A 24199-nucleotide genomic window follows, 5' to 3' on the forward strand; every position below is an offset into this window, starting at 1 on the left:
TTAAGGATATGTGTATTAGTACAATTTTCTCATATAATCATCCAAAATGGCCTGCAGTCAATGGATCCTGGAGGTTAACTGTTAACTATTGGGACTAAATAATGTGATCACTACAATAACCTCAGCCATACCTAAAGTTGTGTTAACAATTCAAAATGTGCATCAAGCTAGGGAGATTGGTATTTTGTGATCTATTTAACTAATATATTATCTTCTATTTCTATTTCAGAACAAATTCAAAGCCAGTAAAGATGGATACCAATGCATAATTACTGTGTTCCCAGAGGACATTTAAATTGTCTTGTTTATTGCCACATTATAGTGAGGAGACATTATATTCAATTGAAAATTACTGTTATTAATTATTTTGATGATGTAATTCTGTTTTAATCTGAATGTCAAACTGAATTACAAATGATGGTAAATAATACAGCCACCAGGGAGTGATTGATTAAACTTTCTAAAATATAGGGTCAAACACAAGCAGTATTTTTTCTGAGGATTTTTAGAAATTATTTGGGCTGAAATCACTAGAAGACATTCCTCAAACAATCAAAAATAACTTATTATTCTGTGAGCTCCAAAATCAAAACAAGAGACTAAAAAATTGATTGATTGATTTATGAATAAATCATATATCATATCTGGTAATATTATTATTCTCCATTCACAGAACTGCCAGGGGATAAGGAAATGCTGAATTTGAATGGAGCTCTGAACTGTTAACATCAGGGGCTCTGAACAACAGCAGATGCCCTTGGAGCTTCTAATAGCCATTGCCCTGTTGAAACCTTTGGAATCCTAAAACCCCAATTCTCATATATTACTAGCAGTGTCAAATTGTAATCACAATGATGGGAGCTTTTGGCCAAATTCCATTACTGCTACTACACTGGGACAACCATGGGGATTTTACCATAGACAATTACTGTAGGAGGCCTCCAGTTTCATGCCTTTTGAAAGTCAATCATTGGCATGTCAAGCATTAATTTAGGCTTATTCTGTTAGGAAAGTATGTAAAATTATTTTGACAACTGAAATATGCATAATATTATGGGTCATATGAGAAGAGCATTCCAACAGAAAGATAAATGCACATAAGCGTTCCTGGTTAAATGGAAATGGCATATTCAAGAACATGAGAAAGTGGACAAGTGGAGGTATCCATAGCATACATGAAAAGGTCTGCTATGTCTTTGGCCACATACTAATCTCCTTGAGTTTTTTACCCCATAGACAAATGGACCCCTCCCTATTACCAGTTATCAGAGGATGCCAAACAAGCAGCACCATGTCTACTCTCCACCATGTCAAGCGTAGAAAGCTGACACTCAACTTCAAAGATAACAACATTGTGACTGGTCTATAACTGCACTTCAAAAAAGAAAAAGATAAATCTGCCCAGTGGCAGAATTAACACTGTATCTCATCATCAGAGAAACTAGATAATAAAAACAATAATATAGTATACACAATTCTTAGGCAGCAGAGTATGGATTGGCAATTTAGTCTGAAAAATGAGCCTTATAAAAACTGAAAGATAACAAGGGAATCCATGTATGAGATGGTAAGTTACAGAACATTTTATGGACCTGAAGAGGGATAACCAAAGTGGGATAGGTCTACGCCTGTCATAAAATTTCATTCTGAATTCAGAAAAGGACTAGAATAAACAAATGGAAGACTTCATTAGCTCTTTGAAAGTGGCCTCTTGGAGACATGAAACAAAAAGGCATGGAAGCATTCAAGCAGTGCAACAATGTGTGCAAAAAATATGCATCCCACTCTCTCGAAGCTGCAAATGTACCAAAAATTGTTATGCTTATCAGCATAAAGAAATTGGAAACTAAAAGCAGTTATGGACTATGCATTAATTTCCTAGGGCTGCCATGACAAAGTACCACAAACTCGATTACTTAAAACACCAGCAATGTATTATCTACAGTTCTGGAAGCTCAAGTCCAACTCAGGGTGTTAGCAGGGTCAAGATTCCCTGAAATTGGTAGGGGGAAATCTTCCCTTGCCTCTTCTTAACTTTGGGTGATTTGTCAGGAATCCTTGGCATTCCTTGGCTTGCAACCATGGTGCTTCAGTCTCTGCCTCCATTGTCACATGGCATTTTCCCCCATGTGTCTTGTGTCTCTTTGTCTCTGCTGTTCTTACAAGGACACTAGTCATATTGTATCAATAATTCACCTTGCTCCAGTATGATCTCATCTTAACTAATTACAACTGCAATGACCCTATTTCCAAATAAGGTCACCTTCTGAGGATTCTGACGTTAGGACTTCAACACATCTTTTGGAAGGACACAATTCAACCCAAAATATAATATTTACTGAAAGGATCCAGGAAGACTTAAAGTTAGCAAGTGGATTATACTGGCCATTACCCTTAGTTCCAGGTGGATAAAAATGACTCTTGAATAAGAGAGACACTCGTTCAGGATTTGGATTTGCATACTTAGAAAATAAAGCAAATACCACTACCACTATTAAAGGCTTATAACAAGCTTATACTAATTTGAATGTTCAATACCTAATTAAGGGATCTATTTTACTCCAAGTTAAATATAACAAGTTATGAAGCATCATATACAATAGACTCATCATATACATCGATGTACAAAGTGGACTGATTGAAAACCTAAATCTGCTTATTAAATGTAGGGAGGGTGACAGGAGACTGGTAGGATAACTTTCACAACTGAATGAATTTGTGTCAAAATATATGTATGTTAAAGAAAAGAGGGATTGATGAATACATTATTGAGATATATTTATAAAGACATGGAAAAGTGACAGGAAAGATATAAGCACTTACAGAAACTTCCCTATTTCTAATTTTTTTCTTTGCTTGATAATATTGGTGAAACACAGATAGCATTTTTGAGTTTTGGAGGAAGGATCAGTTGCTGAACATGATGCTGTGACAGTATCTCTAAATATAACTGTCCATCATTCCTTCAGAATGAGTCATTCCTTCTTTTCATTTTTTAAAATGTGGGATTCGTGGGCTTTGTCTCTTTCCTGCTCAGTGGATGAGGCAGGCCTATCTGTTTGTGTTTGTCTAACCCTACTCCATACAATGATGAACAGATGAAGGGGAAAATCATTGGGTAGACTTTTGTTGCTGCCAGTTTTTTGGATCAGTCATCTTAATGCACTTAACAACCTAACCTCAAGGAGGATAATCTGGGTAAAAATTAATAAAAATAAAAGAAGGGTAAGTATTTACTGATATAGAAGAAAGCAAAGAAAAAAACCAATTACACAAAAAGAAAAGGCTAACATGAACTGGTTATCTCAGGAGATGTTGATAGCAAGAGACTATTATCTCTTGGATGTATTTTTAAATGCCATCCACAAAAACAAAGCTATTTTCCTGCAGAAACCTTCTTTCTTTAAAACCTTTGTTTAAAACATGTTCAAAGTGTCATGTGCTCTAATGGTGGAGGACGGTAAGCAAAGTAACAAATAATTGACAAATTGAAACCATTGTTAGGTCAGGGTTTGCTGAGGAAGCCTATGGGAATCTCTTTAGCTTCCTCAAACTAAATTGTATTTGTAGGTTACTAACTCCTGTTATGATAGTGTCGTTGGGAAATCAACATTTGGGGTTCAAAATGTGTACTCAGACTATTGACAGATTGAAACCATTGTTACGTCAGGGTAACCAGCAATAAGTCATTAATGCAAATAACATGTTTGATATAATTACAAAAGGATAAATTTAGCAAGAGAATAGAATAATTCTAAATAAATCTATATATACCCTAAACTGGAGTACCCAATACAAATAAAATTAGGTTGGTGCAAAAATAATTGTGGTTTTGATAAAATTCAGCATCCCTTCATAATAAAAACTCTCAACAAACTAGGCATAGAAGGAACATATCTCAGCATAACAAAACGTTATGCTGAGGCCATATATGACAAACCCACAGAAAACATAATCCAGAATGGGGACAAGCTGAAAGCCTCTCCTCCAAGAATTGGAACTAGATAAGAATACCCACTTTCACCACTCCTATTCAACATAGTACTGGATGTCCAACCCAGAGCAATTAAGCAAATATATAAATAAATTAGAAAATAAGTAAATTAGAAAAGAGGAAGTCAAATAGTCCTTATTTGCAGATGACATGTTCTTATATTTAGAAAAATCAAAAGACTCCACCAAAAACTCTTAGATCTGATAAATAAATTCAGTAAAGTTATAGGATACAAAATCAATATACAAAAATCAGTAACATTTCTAGAAACCATAAACAAAGTAGCTGAAAAGGAAATCAATAAGTAAATCCCATTTATAATAGCTAAAAGAAAATAAAATACTTAGAAATAAGTGTAACCAAGGAGGTAAAAGATTTCTACAAGGAAAACCTCAAAACACTGGTGAACGAAATTGAGGAGGATGGAAATGGAAAGACATCCACACTCATGAATTAAAAGAATTAATACCATTAAAATGACCATACTATCCAAAGCACCTATAGATTCAATGAAATTCCTATTGAAATGCCAATGTCATTTTTCACAGAAACAGAAAAAGAAATTCTAAAATTCATATGGAACCAAAAAAGGGCCCAAATAGCCAAAGCAATCCTGAGCAGAAAGAACAAAGCTGGAGACTTCACACTACCTGACTTCAAAATATATTCCAAGGCTATAACAAACAAAATATCATGGTGCTAGTATTAAAATAGACATATAGACTGACAGAAAAGAATAGAGAATCAGAAATAAATCCACATATTTACAGCCAACTAATTTTTAACAAAGGCATCAAAAATCTATATTGGGAAAGAGACACCCTCTTTAATAAATAGTGCTGGGAAAACTGAATATCCATATGCAGAAAAATAAAACTAGACCGCTAAGTCTCACCACATAAAAAAATCAACTTAAAATGGATTAAATACTTAAATGTAAAACCCAAAACTATAAAATTATTAGAACTAAACATGGGGGAAACACTCCATGACATTGATCTAAGCAATGACTTCATGGTTAAACCCCAAAAGCACTAGTAACAAAAATACAAAATAGACAAATGGGGCTAGGTTAAATAAAAAGTTTCTGCACAGCAAAGGAAACAATCAAGAGTGAAGAGACAGCCCACAGAATGACAGAAAATATTTGCAAACTATTTATCCAACAAAGGACTAACATCCAGAATACACAAGGAATTCAATAGCAAAAACAGTCCCATTAAAAAGTAGGCAAAGAATCTGAATAGATGTTTTTCAAAAGAAGACATATAAATGGCCAAGAAGTATGTAAAATATGCTCAACATCACTAATCATCAGGGAATGCAAGTCAAAACCACAATGAGATATTAGCTTACCCAGCTAGAATGGTTATTATCAAAAGACCCCCCACTCCTTCCCCCCAAAAAAAGCAGATGCTGAGGAGGATGCAGAGAAAAGAGAACTCTTATACACTTTTGGCGGGAATGTAAATTAGTATAGCCATTATGGAAAACAGTATAAAGTTTTCTCAGTAAAACTAAAAATAGAACTACCACGTGATCCAGCAATCTTACAACTAGGTATTTATCCAAAGGAAAGGAAATCAGTATATTAAAAGGATACATGTACCCCCATGTTATTGCAGCACTATTTACAATAGCAATGATATGAAATCAACCTAAGTGTCCGTCAATAGATGAATGAACAAAAAAAAAATTGCTATATATACACAGTGCAATACTACTCGGCCATAGGGAAAAAAATAAAATTAAGTCACTTGCAGCAACATGGGGGAACTGCGGGTCATTATGTTAAGTAAATTAAGCCAGACACAGAGAGACAACTGTTGCAGGTTCTCACTCATATATGGGAGTTTTACAAAAAAGTTTTACTTACAGACAAAGAGAATAGAATGATGGATCAGGTGGGGGAAAATGGCAGATTGGAGGCAGGACTAACTTGCAGCTCCCACTCCAGTGGACAGAGCAGTGTGTGGAGACTCACATCGTGAACTTTTGCTCCAAGAACTACCACAGGAACATACCGGGAAAGCCAAGAGGATCCACAGACCCTTTGAAGGAGGCAGATTGCTGTTGCAGGCCCCTGGAAATAGCAAAAAAAAAAAAAAAAAAAACTGAGTGTCCAAAGTGTGAAACTGTGAAAGGGGAGGATCATCCACCCCCAAACACACACCCTCACTAGGGAACCTGAAGGTCCATATCACAGAAGGATTTGACCTTACCTGGAGCTGAGACAAATTTAGAGAGCCGAGCAAAACACAACGGTAAAAGAAACAGTGGGAAGAGCCCTGTGGGCACTCTTTGTCCCCTGGAAAACCATTTCTGACTTTGTCTTACAGGGGTTCTTGAGGAGGGCTGCAGAGGAACTAGGAAAAGATCACAGGGAGAAGGAAACTTCCAGATGATCTCTGTAACAATTTCAACCAAGCGCTAAGTTTTCTGGACAGAACCTGAGGCAGGAGGTGAATTGGAAGTGCAGACATAGCACAGAAGCTGCAGCAGGCAGGGAGGTGCAAAACCTGAAAGCCCTGCTTACTTTCTCCCCCCGCCTCCCCTCCCCAAGGCTGGTAGCCTGGGGCAAGTTCTCAGCCCTTCTCACCCACTGCCTGGAAATTAACTCAATGCTGTTGGTGGCGACACCGTGGAAGTGAGACCAGACTTTTGGGCTGCGGGGGAGCTAGGTGAGGCCTGTAACTGCTGGCTTTCCCCCACATCCCTGGTAACCTGCATGACACAGCGAAAGCAGCCATAATCCCCTGGGAACATAACTCCATTGGCTTGGTAACCACACCCCTAACCCCTACAGCAGCCACAGCAAGCCCCAGCCAAGGAGACTTTGAGCTCAAAAATGCCTAACCCTGCCTCTACCTGATGGTCTTTCTTTACCTGCTCTGGTAGCTGAAGACAAAGGACAAAATCTCTTGGGAGCTCTAGGGCTCCGCCCACCACCTGATCCTCTCTATACTACTGCAGCTGAAGCTCTCTTAAAAGTCCCACCTCCTGGCTGGAGGCCAACTAACAAAAAACTAGTGCAATAAACAAAACTACAACCAAAGACTCTCACAGAGCCCACTTCATTCCCCTGACACCTCCACCAGTGCAGGTGCTGGCGTGGCAGACCAGGATTCACTAACCCAGGCCTCCATCACAACTGTTTCAGTACTGACTGAGTGGTTAGGTTAAATATTAAAAGCTAAAAAAGCCAGTCCGAAGGCTGGAATGTAACAAAAGCCCATCAAGAGTTTTACCTAGGCTTTCCTGGGCCTTAAAACATGACAAAATAATGAAGGAATTCTTAACAGGACCCGTTTAGGAATAAACAAGTTTTATTGGGGTTCTGAAGAAACCCCTCAGGACTCTACAAACAAGTTTATTGGAGGTCTGAAGGAACTCCCCAAACCTCCCTAACGACCTAATTGCTCTTCTTAAAGGATACAGAAAAACAGAATTCACCAACCAAGTATCTGCTATCTTCAAGAGACTCGCCTAACACATAAACATTATTGGAGTAGACATTTAAGGCTATGAACTTTCCTCTTAGCACTGCCTTTGCTGTATCACAGGGATGCAGCGAAGGTTTAATACACGCAAGTTAACAAATGTGATACACCACATAAAAAGAATTAAAAACAAAAATTACATGATCACCTCAATAGACACAGAAAAAGCATTTGACAAAATCCAGCATCCCTTTATGATTAAAATCCTCAGCAAAATCAAGGACACACCTTAAGGTAATAAAAGCCACCTATGACAAACCCACAGCCAACATAATACTGAACGGGGAAAAGTTGAAAGCATTCCCCGTGATAACTAGAACAAGACAAGGATGACCATTCTCACTACTTCTATTCAATATAGTACTGGAAATCCTGGCCAGAGCGATCAGACAAGAGAAAGAAATAAAGGGAATCCCATCAATGATAGACTGGATAAAGAAAATGTGGCACATATCCACCATGGTATACTATGCAGCCATAAAAAAGAATGAGTTCGTGTCATTTGCAGAGACATGGATGAAGCTGGAAACCATCATTCTCAGCAAACTAGCACAGGAACAGAAAACCAAACACCACATGTTCTCACTTATAAATGGGAGTTGAACAATGAGAACACATGGACACAGGAAAGGGAACATCACACACCATGCCTCTCGGGGGGTGGGGTCAAGGGGAGGGAGAGCATTAGGACAAATACCTAATACATGCAGGGCTTAAAACCTAGATGATGGGTTGATAGGTGCAGCAAACTACTGTGGCACATGTATGCCTATGTAGCAAACCTACACATTCTGCACAAATATCCCAGAACTTAAAGTAAAAATTTAAAAAAAGAAACAAACAAAGAAAGAAAGGGCATCCAAATTGGTAAAGAGGAAGTCACGGTCGGGCGTGGTGGCTCACACCTGTAGTCCCAGTATTTTGGGAGGCCGAGGTGGGTGGATCACCTGAGGTCAGGAGTTCAAGACCAGCCTGGCCAACATGGTGAAACCCCATCTCTATCAAAAATACAAAAAATTAGCCAGGCATGGTGGTGGGCACCTGTAATCCCAGCTACTGGGGAGGCTGAGTCAGGAGAATCGCTTGAACCCAGGAGTCAGAGATCGCAGTGAGCCAAGATTGCACCATTGCACTCCAGCCTGGGTGACAAGAGTGAGACTCCATCTCAAAAAAAACAAAACAAAACAAAACAAGTCACACTATCACTCTTTGCTGATGACATGGTTGTATGCCTAGAAAACCCTAAAGATTCCTCCAAAAAGCTCCTAGAACTAATGAATGAATTCAGCAGAGTTTCAGGATACAAAATTAATATACATAAATCAGTAGTTCTCCTATACACCGACAGTGGCCAAAATAAGAATCAGATCAAGAACTCAACCCCTTTTACAATAGCTGCAAAAAAATTAAAATACTTAGGGATATACCTAACCAAGGAGGTGAAAGACCTCTACAAGGAAAACACTGTTGAAAGAAGTCATAGACAACACAAACAAAAGGAAACATATCCCATGTTCATGGATGAGTAGAATCAATATTGTGAAAATTACCACACTGCCAAAAGCAATCTACAAATTCAATGCAATTTCCATGAAAATACCACCATCATTCTTAAAAGGACTAGAAAAGACAATTCTAAAATTCATATGGAACCAAAAAAGAGCCCATACAGCCAAAGCAAGACTAAGCAAAAAGAACAAATCTGGAGTCATCACATTACCTGACTTCAAACTATACTCTAAGGCCATAGTCACCAAAACAGCATGGTACTGGTATAAAAATAGGTACTTAGATCAATGGAACAGAACAGAGAACCCAGAAATAAAGCCAAACACTTATAGCCAGCTGATCTTTAACAAAGCAAACAAAAACATCAAGTGGGGAAAAGACAACCTATTCAACAAATGGTGCTGGGATAATTGGCAAGCCACATGTAGAAGAATGAAACTTGATCCTCATCTCTCACCTTATACAAAAATCAACTCAAGATGGATTAAGGATTTAAATCTAGACATTGGCTTAGGCAAAAACTTCATGAACAAGAACTCAAACACAAATGCAACAAAAACAAAGATAAATAGATAGGATTTAGTTAAACTAAAAAGCTTCTTCACAGCAAAAGAAACAATCAGCAGAGTAAACAGAAAACCCACAAAGTGGGAGAAAATCTTCACCATCTATACATCTGACAAATGACTAATATACAGAATCTACAAGGAATTCGGATGAATTAGCAAAAAAAAAAAAAAAAAAAAAAACAATCCCATCAAAAAGTGGGCAAAGGACATAACTAGACAATTCTCAAAAGAATATATATAAATGAACTGGGTGTGATGGGTCACGCCTGTAATCCCAGAACTCTGGGAGGCCTAGGCGGGCAGATCACTTGAGGTCAGGAGTTCGAGACCAGCCTGACGAACACAGTGAAACCCTGTCTCTACTAAAAATACAAAAATTAGCTGGGCATGGTGGTGCACGTCTGTAATCCCAGCTACTCAGAGGCTGAGGCAAGAGAATCACTTGAACCTGGGAAGCAGAGATTGCAGTAAGCTGAGATCGTGCCACTGCACACCAGCCTGGATGACACAGCAAGACTCCGTCTCAAAAAAAAAAAAAAAGAATGTATACAAATGGCCAAGAAACATGAAAAAATGCTCAACATCACTAATGATCAGGGAAATGCAAAACAAAATCACAATGAGATAACACCTCACTCCTGCAAGCATGGCCATAATTTAAAAATAAAAAAATAATAAATGTTGACATGGATGTAGTGAAAAGGGAACACTTCTACACTGCTGGTGGGAATGTAAACTAGTACAATCATTATGGAAAACAGCGTAGATATTTCCTAAAGAACTAAAAGTAGAACTACCATTTGATCCAGCAATCCCACTACTGGGTATCTACCCAGAGGAAAAGAAGTCATTATATGAAAAAGATACTTGCACATGCATGTTTACAGCAGCACAATTTGCAATTGCAAAAATATGGAACCAGCCGAAATGCCCATCAATCAACAAGTAGATAAAGAAACTGTGGTGTATAGAATACTACTCAACCATAAAAAGGAACGAAATAATGGCATTCACAGTGACCTGGATAGAATTGGAGAGCATTATTCTAAGTGAAGTAACTCAGGAATGGAAAATCAAACATTATACATTCTCACTTATAAGTGGGAGGCTAAGCTATGAGGATGCAAAGGCATAAAAATGATACAATGGACTTTGAGGATTTGGGAACAGTTTGGGAGAGGGGTGAGAGATAAAAGACTAGACATTGGGTATAGTGTAAACTGCTCAGGTGACAGGTGCACTAAAACCTCAGAAATCCCCACTAAAGAACTTATTCATGTAGCCAAACACCTCCTGTTCCCCCAAAAACCTATTGAAATTAAAAAAAAAATTACAGGAAATATGTCACAGAGAATTTGTGGGTAGAAAGAATAGAATGATAGTTGCCAGAGGTTGGGGTGTTTGGGGGTGGGAGGGCAGTGTTAAAGAGAGGTTGGCTAGGCCAGGCACAGTGGCTCACACCTGTAATCCCAGCACTTTGAGAGGCCAAAGCAGATTGATTGCAAGGTCAGAAGTTCAAGACCAGCCTCACCAAGATGGTGAAGTCCCGTCTTTACTAAAAATACAAAAATTAGCTAGGCGTGGTGGCAGGCGCCTGTAATCCCAGCTACTCGGGAGGCTGAGGCAGAGAACTGCTTGAACCCAGGAGGCAGAGGTTGCAGTGAGCCGAGATCGTACCACTGCACTCCAGCCTGGGCAACAGAGTGAGACTTCGTCTCAAAAAAAAAAAAGGACAGGTTGGTTAATGAGTACAGATGCACAGTTAGATAGAAGGAATAAGTTCTAATGTTCAATAGCAGAGTACGATGACTATAGTTAACAATAATAGTATATATTTCAAAACAGCTAGAAGAAAGGACTTGAAATGTTCCCAACACATAGAAATAATAAATGTTCAAGGTGATGGATATCTTAACTTAAATACTCTGACTTTACTGGTGCACATTCTATGCAAATAATAAAACATCACATATACCCCATAAATTTATGCAAATATCATATATCACTAAAAAGTGAAATAAAATTTAAAAATTAATAAAATCAAAGAGGAATTGTTTTTAATCAGAGGTTACATTCTGTTCCACATGCTTCAATTCTGACATGGGTCTAGAGAAAAAGTAAAGCTCATTTTAAAATTTTTAATGATATTTAATTGTCAGCTTAAATTATTTACATATTTCTAACCTAGCTTTTCTGTACTCATTGCAGAATGTAGACGCAATATTCTAAAAGCTCATTCTGGGCTCTTATGAGTGAGAGACGGGGCAGTGCCACAGATTGATTGCAGGAGCTAGAGTCACAAATGGTAGATTTAAGATATTTTTTATTCTCTTATATGCTGGCTGGACAACCTTCAGCAAAACAGTTGAACTTCCTATCTCAGGTTTACATCTGTCTAATAGGAATAATTATATTAACTCATGGTAGTATTCTAAGAACTCCATCAGATATTTGAAAGCATTATGCAAATGAGGGTGATTTATTCATTTGATTATGGAAAGTTTTCAGATAATTCTTAAAAATAAAAAACAATACTTATTAAAGACTTTTTCTGTTTATTGGGGTCTCAAAATCTTCACATATTGTGATAATGCAGACAGCAATATATTTACTATTTGAATTGCATTAGAACAAGAATATACCAATCATATGATATAATTGAGTCTGATGACATTATCCCTGGAGTTTTAGAAAGTTTTTAATTCTCCATGTTTACCTTCTTACCTGTAATTTGTTGTAAATATTGGACCCCTCCCTGAGTCACCCCAAAAAGAATTTAAATTGCCTTGTTGTTGTAATGGCCGGTCCTTTGGAGGATGTTTCTGGTGCTCAAAATGTAGCAAAACACTTAAGTCACCATAAAAGCCCCTAGAACCTATGGGCCTGTATCTTTTTTCTCCAAAATTAAACTAGAAACTCTACACCTGAGTTTCAGAATTTTATACAGCTTCATCTATCAGTTTTACCTGAGGAATAAACTACAGGTAAGTGGAAACTTAAAGAAAATAATTACAGCATGCTGTTTGCTATCTAATTCTCACTTACATCCCCTCACTTTATCATGAAAATTATTACATAACAGAACATTTTTTGAGGCGGTCAAGTAAAACAGCTGTTAAGAAAGAAGACTGGTCTCAAACCAAGGAAAGGAAACCATTCCTCAGGTTCACAGGTACAAAAATGATGGCATATTCCATCTTCTTGCTTTGTAAATATTGTTTTTCAATTATAGATATCAATTTTATATGCTTTAACTGGACATATCTAATTTTTCATCTGTCATGTTTTCGTCATTTAGCGTTACAGAGATTTGCATTATATGTTAGATCACTGTCTGGGTAACATTCACAACAGGACTCTTAGGTAGGAATTGGCCTCATTTAAAGAAGAGAAAAAAGGAGGTTCCAAGTCTTTGAGTTTCAAATCTATACTATAAAATGAAGTTCGGTGTTCTTTTCCAGTGTCACCTGCCTTTTCAAAAACATTTATTCTGCCTCTTCTCTCCTTTCCCCCAGAAGACAGAATGAGAACATTAGATTCCGCTGTCTGGTGCTCTAACCTAGAAACATCATTGCAAGACAGATGTATTCTCTCCCATTTTCAAGAGCCAGGCAATTTGAACACTATTATTGGACCTATAATCTGCTAAAAAAAATTAATTCTGTGTTCCAAATGTGTAGAACTGCAATACTATAATTTGACCATTTTCAGCAGCTGCTGTGCCCACTATGTTTGAAAGTATTTTTAAAATAGCTAAGACATCATATCACCTGTGTGGTTATATTCAGAATAATTGTTGGGTTCAAATTATATAAGACAAAAAATACGTTTTCTATAACTAAATATGAACGTAATTCAAATTGCATATAATTTTCTGTAAATATGAAGGAATGTAAATTACCTCTTCCACTAACCTTTTCTGGACGCTCCTTGGACCAGAATTACCAGTGACCAGTGCCTGTTTATTCTTTGCCTAAGAATGTAGCTTTCATTCACATACACTTTTAATTGTAACTAATTATGACCCAAAAAAGAAGCTAATGTGTTTTAAGTTCCTACTCTCTACCATAAACTTGTGTAGTGGGGCTAACAGAGGCTGGTTAGCTTGCTCTGAGTTTAACTGTTATCATATATGCTAAGTTTATGGTACTGAGCTGAGAGAAGCTAGAAATGCAGCATGATGCTACAAAGCTCATAAGAGGTGCAGCCAAGATTTTTTACAGCTCACGTGCATTTGACTACTATTGCTAATAATGTTCAATACACCCTAGGGCCTCTATATGAAAACTAAAGACAAAAGGAATGTGTACTTTTTCACATAATGAGCAATTCCTTAATGTGCTTACTACTTCTAGAAGAAAAACTGTGAGGGAGACAGAAGAGACAAAAGCTTTCTTAAAAAAAGGGGGTTGGGGACATGAATGGCAGAAGGGTTTGCTTCCTATAACCTCCAGGGCATGAGTCCTTTAACTTATCAACTGGGATGTTTTTCTTTTTCTCTGGGTTTCAATGAAGTCACTTTCACAGTCAGAAGTGAAAGAAACTGAAAAACCAAGGCAGAATGGGGCAGTTAGCCTGACGAGTTTCATTAGCTTAATAGCTAAAGCAATCAGTTAAGACCCAGCTTTGAAGGACCCAACAAAACTTTGGCCTTTCCTTCAAACTGAAACTACAAACACTTTAGTTTCCACTGATTATTCTAAAACTTGGCTAAGAACTCAGAGGAGACAGGATTGTCTCTTTTTAGAAAATAAAATAAATTATTAAAATAAAATGTTTTATTATCAATTTAACCTAAAAAGAACTACTATGTGTCCATTTCCAAGGAAGATGAATTTTGAGTCAGGTTCTCTACAAGCCAAAGAAGATGCCAACAATTGCCCTGAAAAACACTTACAAAACTACAAAGCACAGGTCACAGTCAAATATTGGGGAGAAAAGTACAAGACCCTGAAGAATATTCCCATAACAATCTTGAGTGTTTGTGTGTGTTTTCAGCTTTAACATTCCCTGATCAAAACTCCAGTGGCTCCCAATTGCCTAGATAATAAATTATAATTCCTTAACTTTACATTTAATATTCATCACAAATTGGCAAACCAGTTCTCCTCTTTTTTTTTTCCTTTTCCTACTATCCTCCTGTAATTGTTTTCTTCTGTAGAATTCCCACTGATGCCTTTTAGCCTCAGTCTATTACCTGAGGCATTTCCCCCTCAGCTCATCAGGACCAAATTCAATGAATATGATGAAATCTTGTGCTACCCCTCTCAGATGATTTCTCCTTCTTTGAAATGCATCTGTACTTAATCTGGGTGTTTGAATAAAATGTGTAGTGATTCAGAGGCTTCCCCGGGAATGGTGACTGATTGCCTACCAACACACCTATGGCAATGCTTGGTGATTTTACCAAGGTCCACATTCTGTCCCTTAGTACCACAGACTTAAAATTGATTTGTAAGTAAGAAGAGACTGGATCTCATTCACAGGTGTAGATTCACACGAGCTCACAGATATGACTAGGAAGTAGAGTGCCAAGCTTTACAATGAGAAACAGAGGCCTATGGGGAGCAACCACCAAATTTCTCTGCTCATTCTTTCTTTATATCCAAGTTACCTGAATGCGGGCTTGTCATTGGAAGGGAACACACAGTCAGATCAAGAGGATTACTTATGTGAATGGCATATTTCATGGCATTGGGCTAATACAAATGCCAGATTCGTTTTCCTCCACTCTAAGGATAACCGTTCCAGTGGGATGACAAGACTTAAATTCCTTGGGTGAACCCTGCCTTCCCAGACCTTGGAAAATTCCCTTTATTCTCCTCCATTGCTGACCATCTACTCTACAACTGACTTTTTTCTTTTACCTAGATGAAAAACTTTATTTTTAAAAATGTTTGGTCTAACTACGCTTTTTAAAAATTTTGTAAGTACCTCAATTTTTTATTCACTTAATCCACATTATGTTGTTTTTATGACATCAGAAGTCGATTTCTTTTTTTCTTTTTTCTTTTTTTTTTTTTTACATCTATGATAGTCCCTTCTATTAAAACCACATTTCTTTTTCTGTCTGGGACAGAATGCTCCCTCATATTTTTCTTTTATAAAACTGACTGTGCAAGTTATATACTTTTATTCTTTCATATGAATTTAGGATAAGTACTCAAATCCCTAAAAAAAAACCAGCTAAATCTTTAATGGATTCAATTGAATGTATAGACTAATTTGAGAGGGAAATGACAGCATTCTTATATTTTTATCCTACCTATTAACATGTCATACCTTTTCAATTACTCATATTCTACTATGCCCTTCATTATAATATAATTTTTAAAGAATTTCTATAAAGGTCTTACGTATCCCTTGTTGAGATAAATGTAGATCCTTATTTTTTGTTATATTTGTTTCTATTACTTTATTGTTTGTTGTTCATATAGAGAAAGCTATTGATTTTTCTGTTAAGCTTGCTTCCAGAAGTCTTACTAATTTTTCTCATCTTGCCTTACAAATTTTTGTCTTTAATCTGTACTTCAGCCATTTTCTTGTCTTATGATTTTAACCAAGGCTATCAATTTTACATTAAAGAGTAACTATAAGAGTGGGCATCCTTATCAAATTCCAGATCTTAATAAAATGTATAAAATGGCCGGGTGCGGAGGCTCACACCTGTAATCCCAGCACTTTGGGAGGCCGAGGTAGGTGGATTACCTGAGGTCAGGAGTTCAAGACCAGCCTGACCAACATGGTGAAATCCTGTCTCTACTAAAAATACAAAAATTAGCCGGGCATGGTGGTGCATGCCTGTAATCCCAGCTACTCAGGAGGATGAGGCAGGAGAATCATTTGAACTCAGGAGGCGGAGGTTGCAGTGAGCTGAGATCGTGCCACTGCACTCCAGCCCGGGCGACAGTGCAAGACTTTGTCTCAAAAAACAAAACAAAACAAAACAAAAAAACTTTAAGAATGTATAAACTGTCTCCATCAAGTATTAGTGAATAATAACTTAATATCTTTTTTTGGTATATGGTTTTCTTTGAAGTTCAGAAAGTCACCTTCTGCTTGAGGATTTCAGATAGTTTCTATAAAAATTACAAATTGAACTTTACTAAATGTGTTTTCTGCATCTTTTGAAATAATTACTACTTTTTTCCTTAAGTCTATTCATACCATAATTTACTGATGTTTACCAAATGTTTAAGAAAGGATAATTCTTATCTCCTACAATAATAGTCCCATTACCTTGGGTTATTATGAATTAAAAAAATTAGAAATGTATCTGGCATAATCAATACATAAATTACTATCTTATTATTCTTGTTGTTGATTAAAGGATTTTATGTATTGCATTGACGATTTTAAAACTATGCTCCCTGGAATCCTCTTAAACTTAACTGAGGGAGTAAGAGTGAATAAACAAGTAAAGAATGGTGTTTTATTCTCCCCTGTACACCAGTGTAACTTCAACTGGAGAAATTTTCCTTTTTATTTGTTTTATATATTACACTTCTGTATAAATTTTATTTTTCAATAATGAATGGTTAGACATCATTGGTTCAGTTCAATGTATATATTTTGAATAAAAGCACTATTATCACAATTGATTCTTTAGTTGTTGCATGCTTGAAAATAAATTAGGTAGAGGCTACAATAAACACCATTACATATTTTAATCAAAGCCAGTGATAAAATTGGCTTTGTAAATTTTAATTTATTCAATTTTTTAAAAATCATTTCTTTGAATGAATACTTCCTCATTGTACTGAAAAAACATACTGGAGGAGTATGAAGGTATGTTCCTTTTCTCAACGAGGTTACTCTCCTCAAAGAGGTCATATGCAGATACATAACCACTACTATACCCCAGTAGACCAGACTGAGTTTTCAAAAGATGCTCAACCACACAGGGCCACATTATGATTTTGATGGGCCCTAGGCACTTTTTTTTTTTTTTTTTTTTTGGCCTTTGTGGGGCCTTATTTCCATAAAGATTTAAAAGTCATATTTTACTTCTGCATTGTTACAAAAACAAATATAGTATATATTAAAACTTTAAAGTTAACGTTTTTCTTCATATTTTAAAAGAAATCAAAACATTTTCCTAGGTTTTTCACAATATGGTCGGAGTACTGTGCCTAATGGATAAGTTGGCCGTGCAGCCATAAGTCAAGATTCCAAATCCATATAAGATCCTGCCAGGTAATATAAACAATTGAGACCAACAATTGAGAATAACATGAGACTAACATGTTAATTGATAACTTATATTCACCTCCAGTGACAAGAGAGTGAGGATTGTAGTCTGGTAGAATGGAGGGACATGCGTTGGATCCAATGGGTCAGTTATTAATATAACTAAGCTCCATGACAGAAACAGGTCTAAAGTTTTCAAATATTCTAATTTATTCAAAGACAAGCTGAAGGCACAGATTTTTATACCATATCTGTTGATTAGAATGTTGATCTCTAGGCCGGGCACGGTGGCTCACGCCTGTAATCCCAGCACCTTGGGAGGCCGAGGAGGGCAAATCACGAGGTCAGGAGATCGAGACCATCCTGGCTAACACAGTGAAACCCCGTCTTTACTAAATATACAAAAACAAAATTAGCTGGGAGTGGTGGCGGGCGCCTGTAATCCCAGCTACTCGGGAGGCTGAGGCAGGAGAATGGCGTGAACCCGGGAGGCGGAGCCTGCAGTGAGCCGAGATGGCGCCACTGCACTCCAGACTGGGCGGCAGAGCGAGACTCCGTGTCGAAAAAAAAAAAAAAGAATGTTGATCTCTATTTCAAATTTAAACACAGTGCAGACAATCACTGCCAAACAAAGCACACCTGTCTGCTGAATCCAGGCTGTAGAACACTGATTTGCAGCCAATGGGTTAAGAGGCAGAACTTGTGGAAACAGCAATAAAGTGGATTGGGATCCAAAGGTCCTATAATCATGTGTTCTCTCTTAACTCTGAGACAGGTTAGGATTCCTACTCTAGTGGCCTGGGTTTTACAGGAAGAAATTGTCCCCAAACTTATATTGTTGCATCCAAAAACAGAACTGCAATAATACAGAATATGATTCTTAAAAGTAGCTCTCACAGACACTGTATTAACATATTCCTGTTCTATCATTCACAGAGTTCTGTTGGAGATCAGTATATGTAATATGGAAAGGACCAACGATTCCACGTCGACAGAATTTTTCCTGGTAGGGCTTTCTGCCCACCCAAAGCTCCAGACAGTTTTCTTCGTTCTAATTTTGTGGATGTACCTGATGATCCTGCTTGGAAATGGAGTCCTTATCTCAGTTATCATCTTTGATTCTCACCTGCACACCCCCATGTATTTCTTCCTCTGTAATCTTTCCTTCCTCGACGTTTGCTACACAAGTTCCTCTGTCCCACTAATTCTTGCCAGCTTTCTGGCAGTAAAGAAAAAGGTTTCCTTCTCTGGGTGTATGGTGCAAATGTTTATTTCTTTTGCCATGGGGGCCACGGAGTGCATGATCTTAGGCACGATGGCACTGGACCGCTATGTGGCCATCTGCTACCCACTGAGATACCCTGTCATCATGAGCAAGGGTGCCTATGTGGCCATGGCAGCTGGGTCCTGGGTCACTGGGCTTGTGGACTCAGTAGTGCAGACAGCTTTTGCAATGCAGTTACCATTCTGTGCTAATAATGTCATTAAACATTTTGTCTGTGAAATTCTGGCTATCTTGAAACTGGCCTGTGCTGATATTTCAATCAATGTGATTAGTATGACAGGGTCGAATCTGATTGTTCTGGTTATTCCATTGTTAGTAATTTCCATCTCTTACATATTTATTGTTGCCACTATTCTGAGGATTCCTTCCACTGAAGGAAAACATAAGGCCTTCTCCACCTGCTCAGCCCACCTGACAGTGGTGATTATATTCTATGGAACCATCTTCTTCATGTACGCAAAGCCTGAGTCTAAAGCCTCTGTTGATTCAGGTAATGAAGACATCATTGAGGCCCTCATCTCCCTTTTCTATGGAGTGATGACTCCCATGCTTAATCCTCTCATCTATAGTCTGCGAAACAAGGATGTAAAGGCTGCTGTCAAAAACATACTGTGTAGGAAAAACTTTTCTGATGGAAAATGAATACTGATTTATACTACATGACTTAATATTCAATGCTGCTGCAGACATAAAATTCAGAAAGATAAAATTACCATGTGAAAACAAATTTTGCCATGTGGCATTCAAAACCATATGGTAGAAATATTTTTGGGCCAGGCACAGTGGCTCATGCCTATAATCCCAGCACTTTGGGAGGCCAAGGAAGGTGGGTCACCTGAGGTCAGGAGTTCGAGACCAGCCTGGCCAATATGGCAAAACCCTGTCTCTACTAAAAATACAAAAATTAGACAGGCGTGGTGACGTGGGTATGTAGTCCCAGCTACTTGGGAGGCTGAGGCAGGAGAATTGCTTGAACGGGAAAGGAGGAGGTTGCAGCAAGCCGAGATCTCACCTCTGCACTCCAGCCTGGGCGACAGAGCGAGACTTCGTCTCAAAACAGAAATATTTTCTCTTTTACTGTTAGATTTTTGTTTAAAAATATATAACTATAGAAATAAAACATGCTCCTGGTGTTAAAACATACTATCATGGATAAATGTTGAAAATCTCTTTGGAAGCCTGAGCAGAAAATAATCACTCTCCAATCTTCGGAAAATAATAAAGGCAAAAGGCATTTGAAAAAGCAATTTATGACCTATATTAAATTCATTATTTATTAGTATGCAAAGTAAATATTAATCACCACATGATGTATTATATATTCATTTTTAATTGTTCATTTATTTACTGTACATTGTCCACTACACATATAAGCTCCCTGAGGGTAGGATCTTGTCTGTTTATTACCCTACAACATCCAAAAAATCCTGTAATAGAGCCTGACACATAATGGGTGCTCAATAAATATTTTTGAACAAATAGGTGAGCCACCTCACATATAAAACGAGAAATGTATGTTTGTGGTATCTGAGGTAGCAAAGGTTATTCATCAGAAATTGATTAGATTAAATACTTCTAAATAAACTGTATTGACATTTAGTCATATACACTCCTTAATAGCTAAGGCATCACCTTTTATTTTCCATAACTTTTCTTGAATTTGATTTATAATAAGACTAAGATAAATGAAAGAGTTCCCTGGTAATGCGTCCTAAGTTTTAATTTAATAAAACATAGATAGCCTGGTAGCATAGTGCTACTCTTGGACTTTGAGAAGAGACCAGGCTGAAATAAGGACTTTTTTTCTACTCTACATTAGATCACACAGAATCTAAGTAGTAGAAAAACTAGACAGAACTAGTGACTGACAAAAATTGCAACATGAGTATAAGAAGTGGCAGAAGAAATTAAGTCAAGTTATCCAATGTACTAAGGAGCACAGGGTTTTGGGCACTGAGGGATAAGACAGAGATGGCTCAAAAGTGAGATCATCTCTATTTATGCTCCCTGTGGGGCAGCACCCATGTGAGGAAGTCCCACCTGCATTGAAGGAATTGAGTCAGTGATGGTCAATAGAAGAAAGCATTCCCTTTACCTACAGATCTTTGAGGAGTCTATGGTAGTTGAAATGTAAAACAGAAATCCAAAGTAAAAGACTAGAGCTACTTCTAACTTGTGAGAGTAAGAGCACAATACCTTCCCATGTGTTAACAGGCAATTATTGTAATTTCATAACATAATAAGTTAATTCATGCATAGCACTTAATAGTGCCTGGAAAATCCAAAATCCCCAATACACATCAACTATTTTATTATTTTTAGTGTTGGGTATACTTTAATAAGTCTTAAAGCTTTGAGTTGGCATGCAATTTTTATCCTTTTTTTTAGGGCATAACTAATGCTATTAACTCTCTTAGCTTCGAATCTACTTTTCTATGTTCTGCCTTGTTAGTTAGGGTTGGCACACTAAAAATCACATTTCATTTCTCTTTTGTTAACTAGCTTCTGTTAGACTCTACCAGAAGAAGTGCTAGAGGGTAAATGAAAGCTTCGATGAAAGTAAGGGATTTGCCCCTCCCTATTTGCTTCCCATTCCTGTCAGCATCACCCCAGCTTTAGTTCTTCACTATGACAATTAGCTGCTTCCAATATTGGTTTTAGTTCCATCTATTTTTCTCCATAATCCAGAATTAATAATCTACCAGCACCATATCCTCAGAGTTTTAAGTCTGTCACTTGGCTCTTATTTCTGGTAAATTATAAGGCCTATCAAGTTTTTAGTCTCTCTTGAGGTATCTTTAAAAGCAATGAAATATGCGACTATCTGCTTGAGAAATGTAGCAAATCAGATGGATAATAAGCAATAGACTGGGTCAAGCAAGACATTTTCTTTTTCTTCTGCAGTTGCTTTCTTGTTTTTAAACTGTAGACTATTAAAAGTCTCTTTAGTACACTCTCAAATGGAATAATTATAATAATTATATAATCATTATATAATAATCAGAGCCTCAGGGAAATGTGAGACAATACTAAGAGTACCAAGACACACATAATGGAAATAACAGAAAGAAGAAGGCAGAAAAAAATACTTATTTAAGTAATTGCTAAAAACATCACAAATTTGATGAAACACTAGTCTATACATCCAAGAAGATCAATGAATTTTAAGTAAGGTAAACTAAAAAGAGATCTACACTCAGATACACCATAGTCAAAATATTGTAAGATAAAGAAGAAAAAAAAAACACCTCATAAACATCAAGAGAAAACTGGTTCATCATGTGTAAGGGAGCCACTATAAGATTAACAGCAAACTTCCCATCAGAAACAATTGAGGCTATATGGCAATTGGATAACATATTCAAAGTCCTGGAAGAAGAAATAAAAAACAAAAATAAAAATAAATGTCAACCAAGAAGCCCATGTTCAGCAAAACCATATTTCAAAAATAAAGGTGAAATAAACGTGTTACCTGATAAACAAATTGAGATGATTCTTTGCAGGCAGACTTACCTTATGAAGATACTAAAGGAAGTTCTTCAGGATAAAAAAAAAGTAATACCAAACAGCAATTCAATGCACACACATACACAGAAGGTAATTCAAAAATACACTTTAAAAAATAAGTAAGTGAATTAAAATGCTATGTTAGCTTATGTGGTTAGGCTGCCTAAAATTTTCTTGTAAACCTGCATGTTCTTTTTGGTTTATTTTGGAGGGAGAAGAAAGGACATTTGTTCACTTGTTTTAAAGGAATTTCTTTACAGAACTATTCCACTCAACTGCTTACAATACTGTCAACATCTGGCCCTTGGGAAATGCACAGACTTTTTTGTTCCACTAAACTCTGAAAACACAGTTCCTTTCCCTACATTGTTATTTCTCCATGCTCTGCTGCTAAGCGTGGGCAGCTTCAGCCCAAGACAATATTCCCCAGTAAGAAATGCCAGTCCCTTGAATTTTAAGATGCTTTATAAATAGCTCTCTTGAAAGATCACCTTCCCTTGTAGGTGGTTGTGGGGTTGGGGGTAGAGAAGGAAGAGATTATGGTGATGGTAGAATGTACATCATAATCATCTTTGCCCCTACAAAATTCACACAACTGAGGTTCAAACTCTACTACATTCTTCACTTTCTCTCACAGATCCTGGGAGTGTGTGACAAACTAATGTGTACAAAGAAGTGGTTTCACAGTTTTTTAGCATGTTCTAAACAGGTAGTCCATAAATTCACTTTAGTACATAGGAGTTTAGAGTACCTATTATATTGCTCTCTGCTGTTAGAGCATCTGACACAAAATGATATAATGCTAAATGAAATACCAAATATAAAAGTATATCTATGTCATAATCACTTTTAAGTGTTTAAGCCAGCCCTACAGAAAAAAAGAATTCCCTAACCAAGCCTGAATATGACATTGTCCATTGTCCTTGCCCATATTTCCCACACACCATTAATTTTATGACTGGTTACATGGTGATATGGTTTGGACTTGTGTCCCCGCCCAAATCTCATGTCAAATTGGAGGAAGTGCCTAGTGGGAGGTGATTGGATCATGGGGGCAAATTTCCCCCTTGCTGTTCTTGTGATAGTGAGTGAGTTCTCATGAGATCTGATGGTTTTAAAGTGTGTGGCACTTCCCCCATTGTGCTCTCTTTCTCTCCACCATGAGAAGATGCACCTTGCTTCCCCTTTGCCTTCTGCCATGATTGTAAGTTTCCTGAGGCCTTCCAACCATGCTTCCTGTTAAGCCTGTGGAACTGTGAGTCAATTAAACCTATTTCCTTCATAAATTACCAAGTCTCAGGTAGTTCTTTATAGCAGTGTGAAAACAAACTAATACACATGGCCACAGTTTCCTTAAAAAGTCTAAAATTTTTAGCTAGTTACAGAAGATCTCATAAAGATAGATCAAAAGATGACTGAAGCCAAACAACAGATTTAAAAGGGGAACTCTAGCACTTTACTGATATATTTAATCCTTTTGATTTTCTCCAAGTGCCTGACTAGAATTCTCCTTCGTCTCCATCCCAAATGAAATAAAGCAGAATGTTCAAAAGAATAAGAACTCACACTCATGAAAGAAAATTTAAAAAATCGTTCTTCATTTCTGCTGTTCATATAGGATAGTAAATTAAATAGGTCTTTCTAA

General features: G+C 37.1%; 1 protein-coding gene and 1 long non-coding RNA gene across 2 annotated transcripts in view; one reads left to right on the forward strand and one right to left on the reverse strand.

Moving 5' to 3' along the window:
• The window catches only part of LOC107987105 (uncharacterized), a 217429-nt gene that overhangs the window by 20231 nt on the left and 172999 nt on the right, over positions 1 to 24199 (reverse strand). Inside the window, exon 4 of the long non-coding RNA XR_007061705.1 lies at positions 5871 to 6077. This is a non-coding gene — a long non-coding RNA (uncharacterized LOC107987105). The remainder of the gene's footprint in view (positions 1 to 5870; positions 6078 to 24199) is intronic.
• On the forward strand, positions 18727 to 19689 carry OR13C8 (olfactory receptor family 13 subfamily C member 8). Its single transcript, NM_001004483.1, has one exon. It carries the CDS (start codon positions 18727 to 18729, stop codon positions 19687 to 19689), a length of 963 nt encoding a protein of 320 aa, NP_001004483.1.

Source organism: Homo sapiens, chromosome 9 (assembly GCF_000001405.40).
Source record: "Homo sapiens chromosome 9, GRCh38.p14 Primary Assembly".
Classification (NCBI taxonomy): Eukaryota; Metazoa; Chordata; class Mammalia; order Primates; family Hominidae; genus Homo; species Homo sapiens.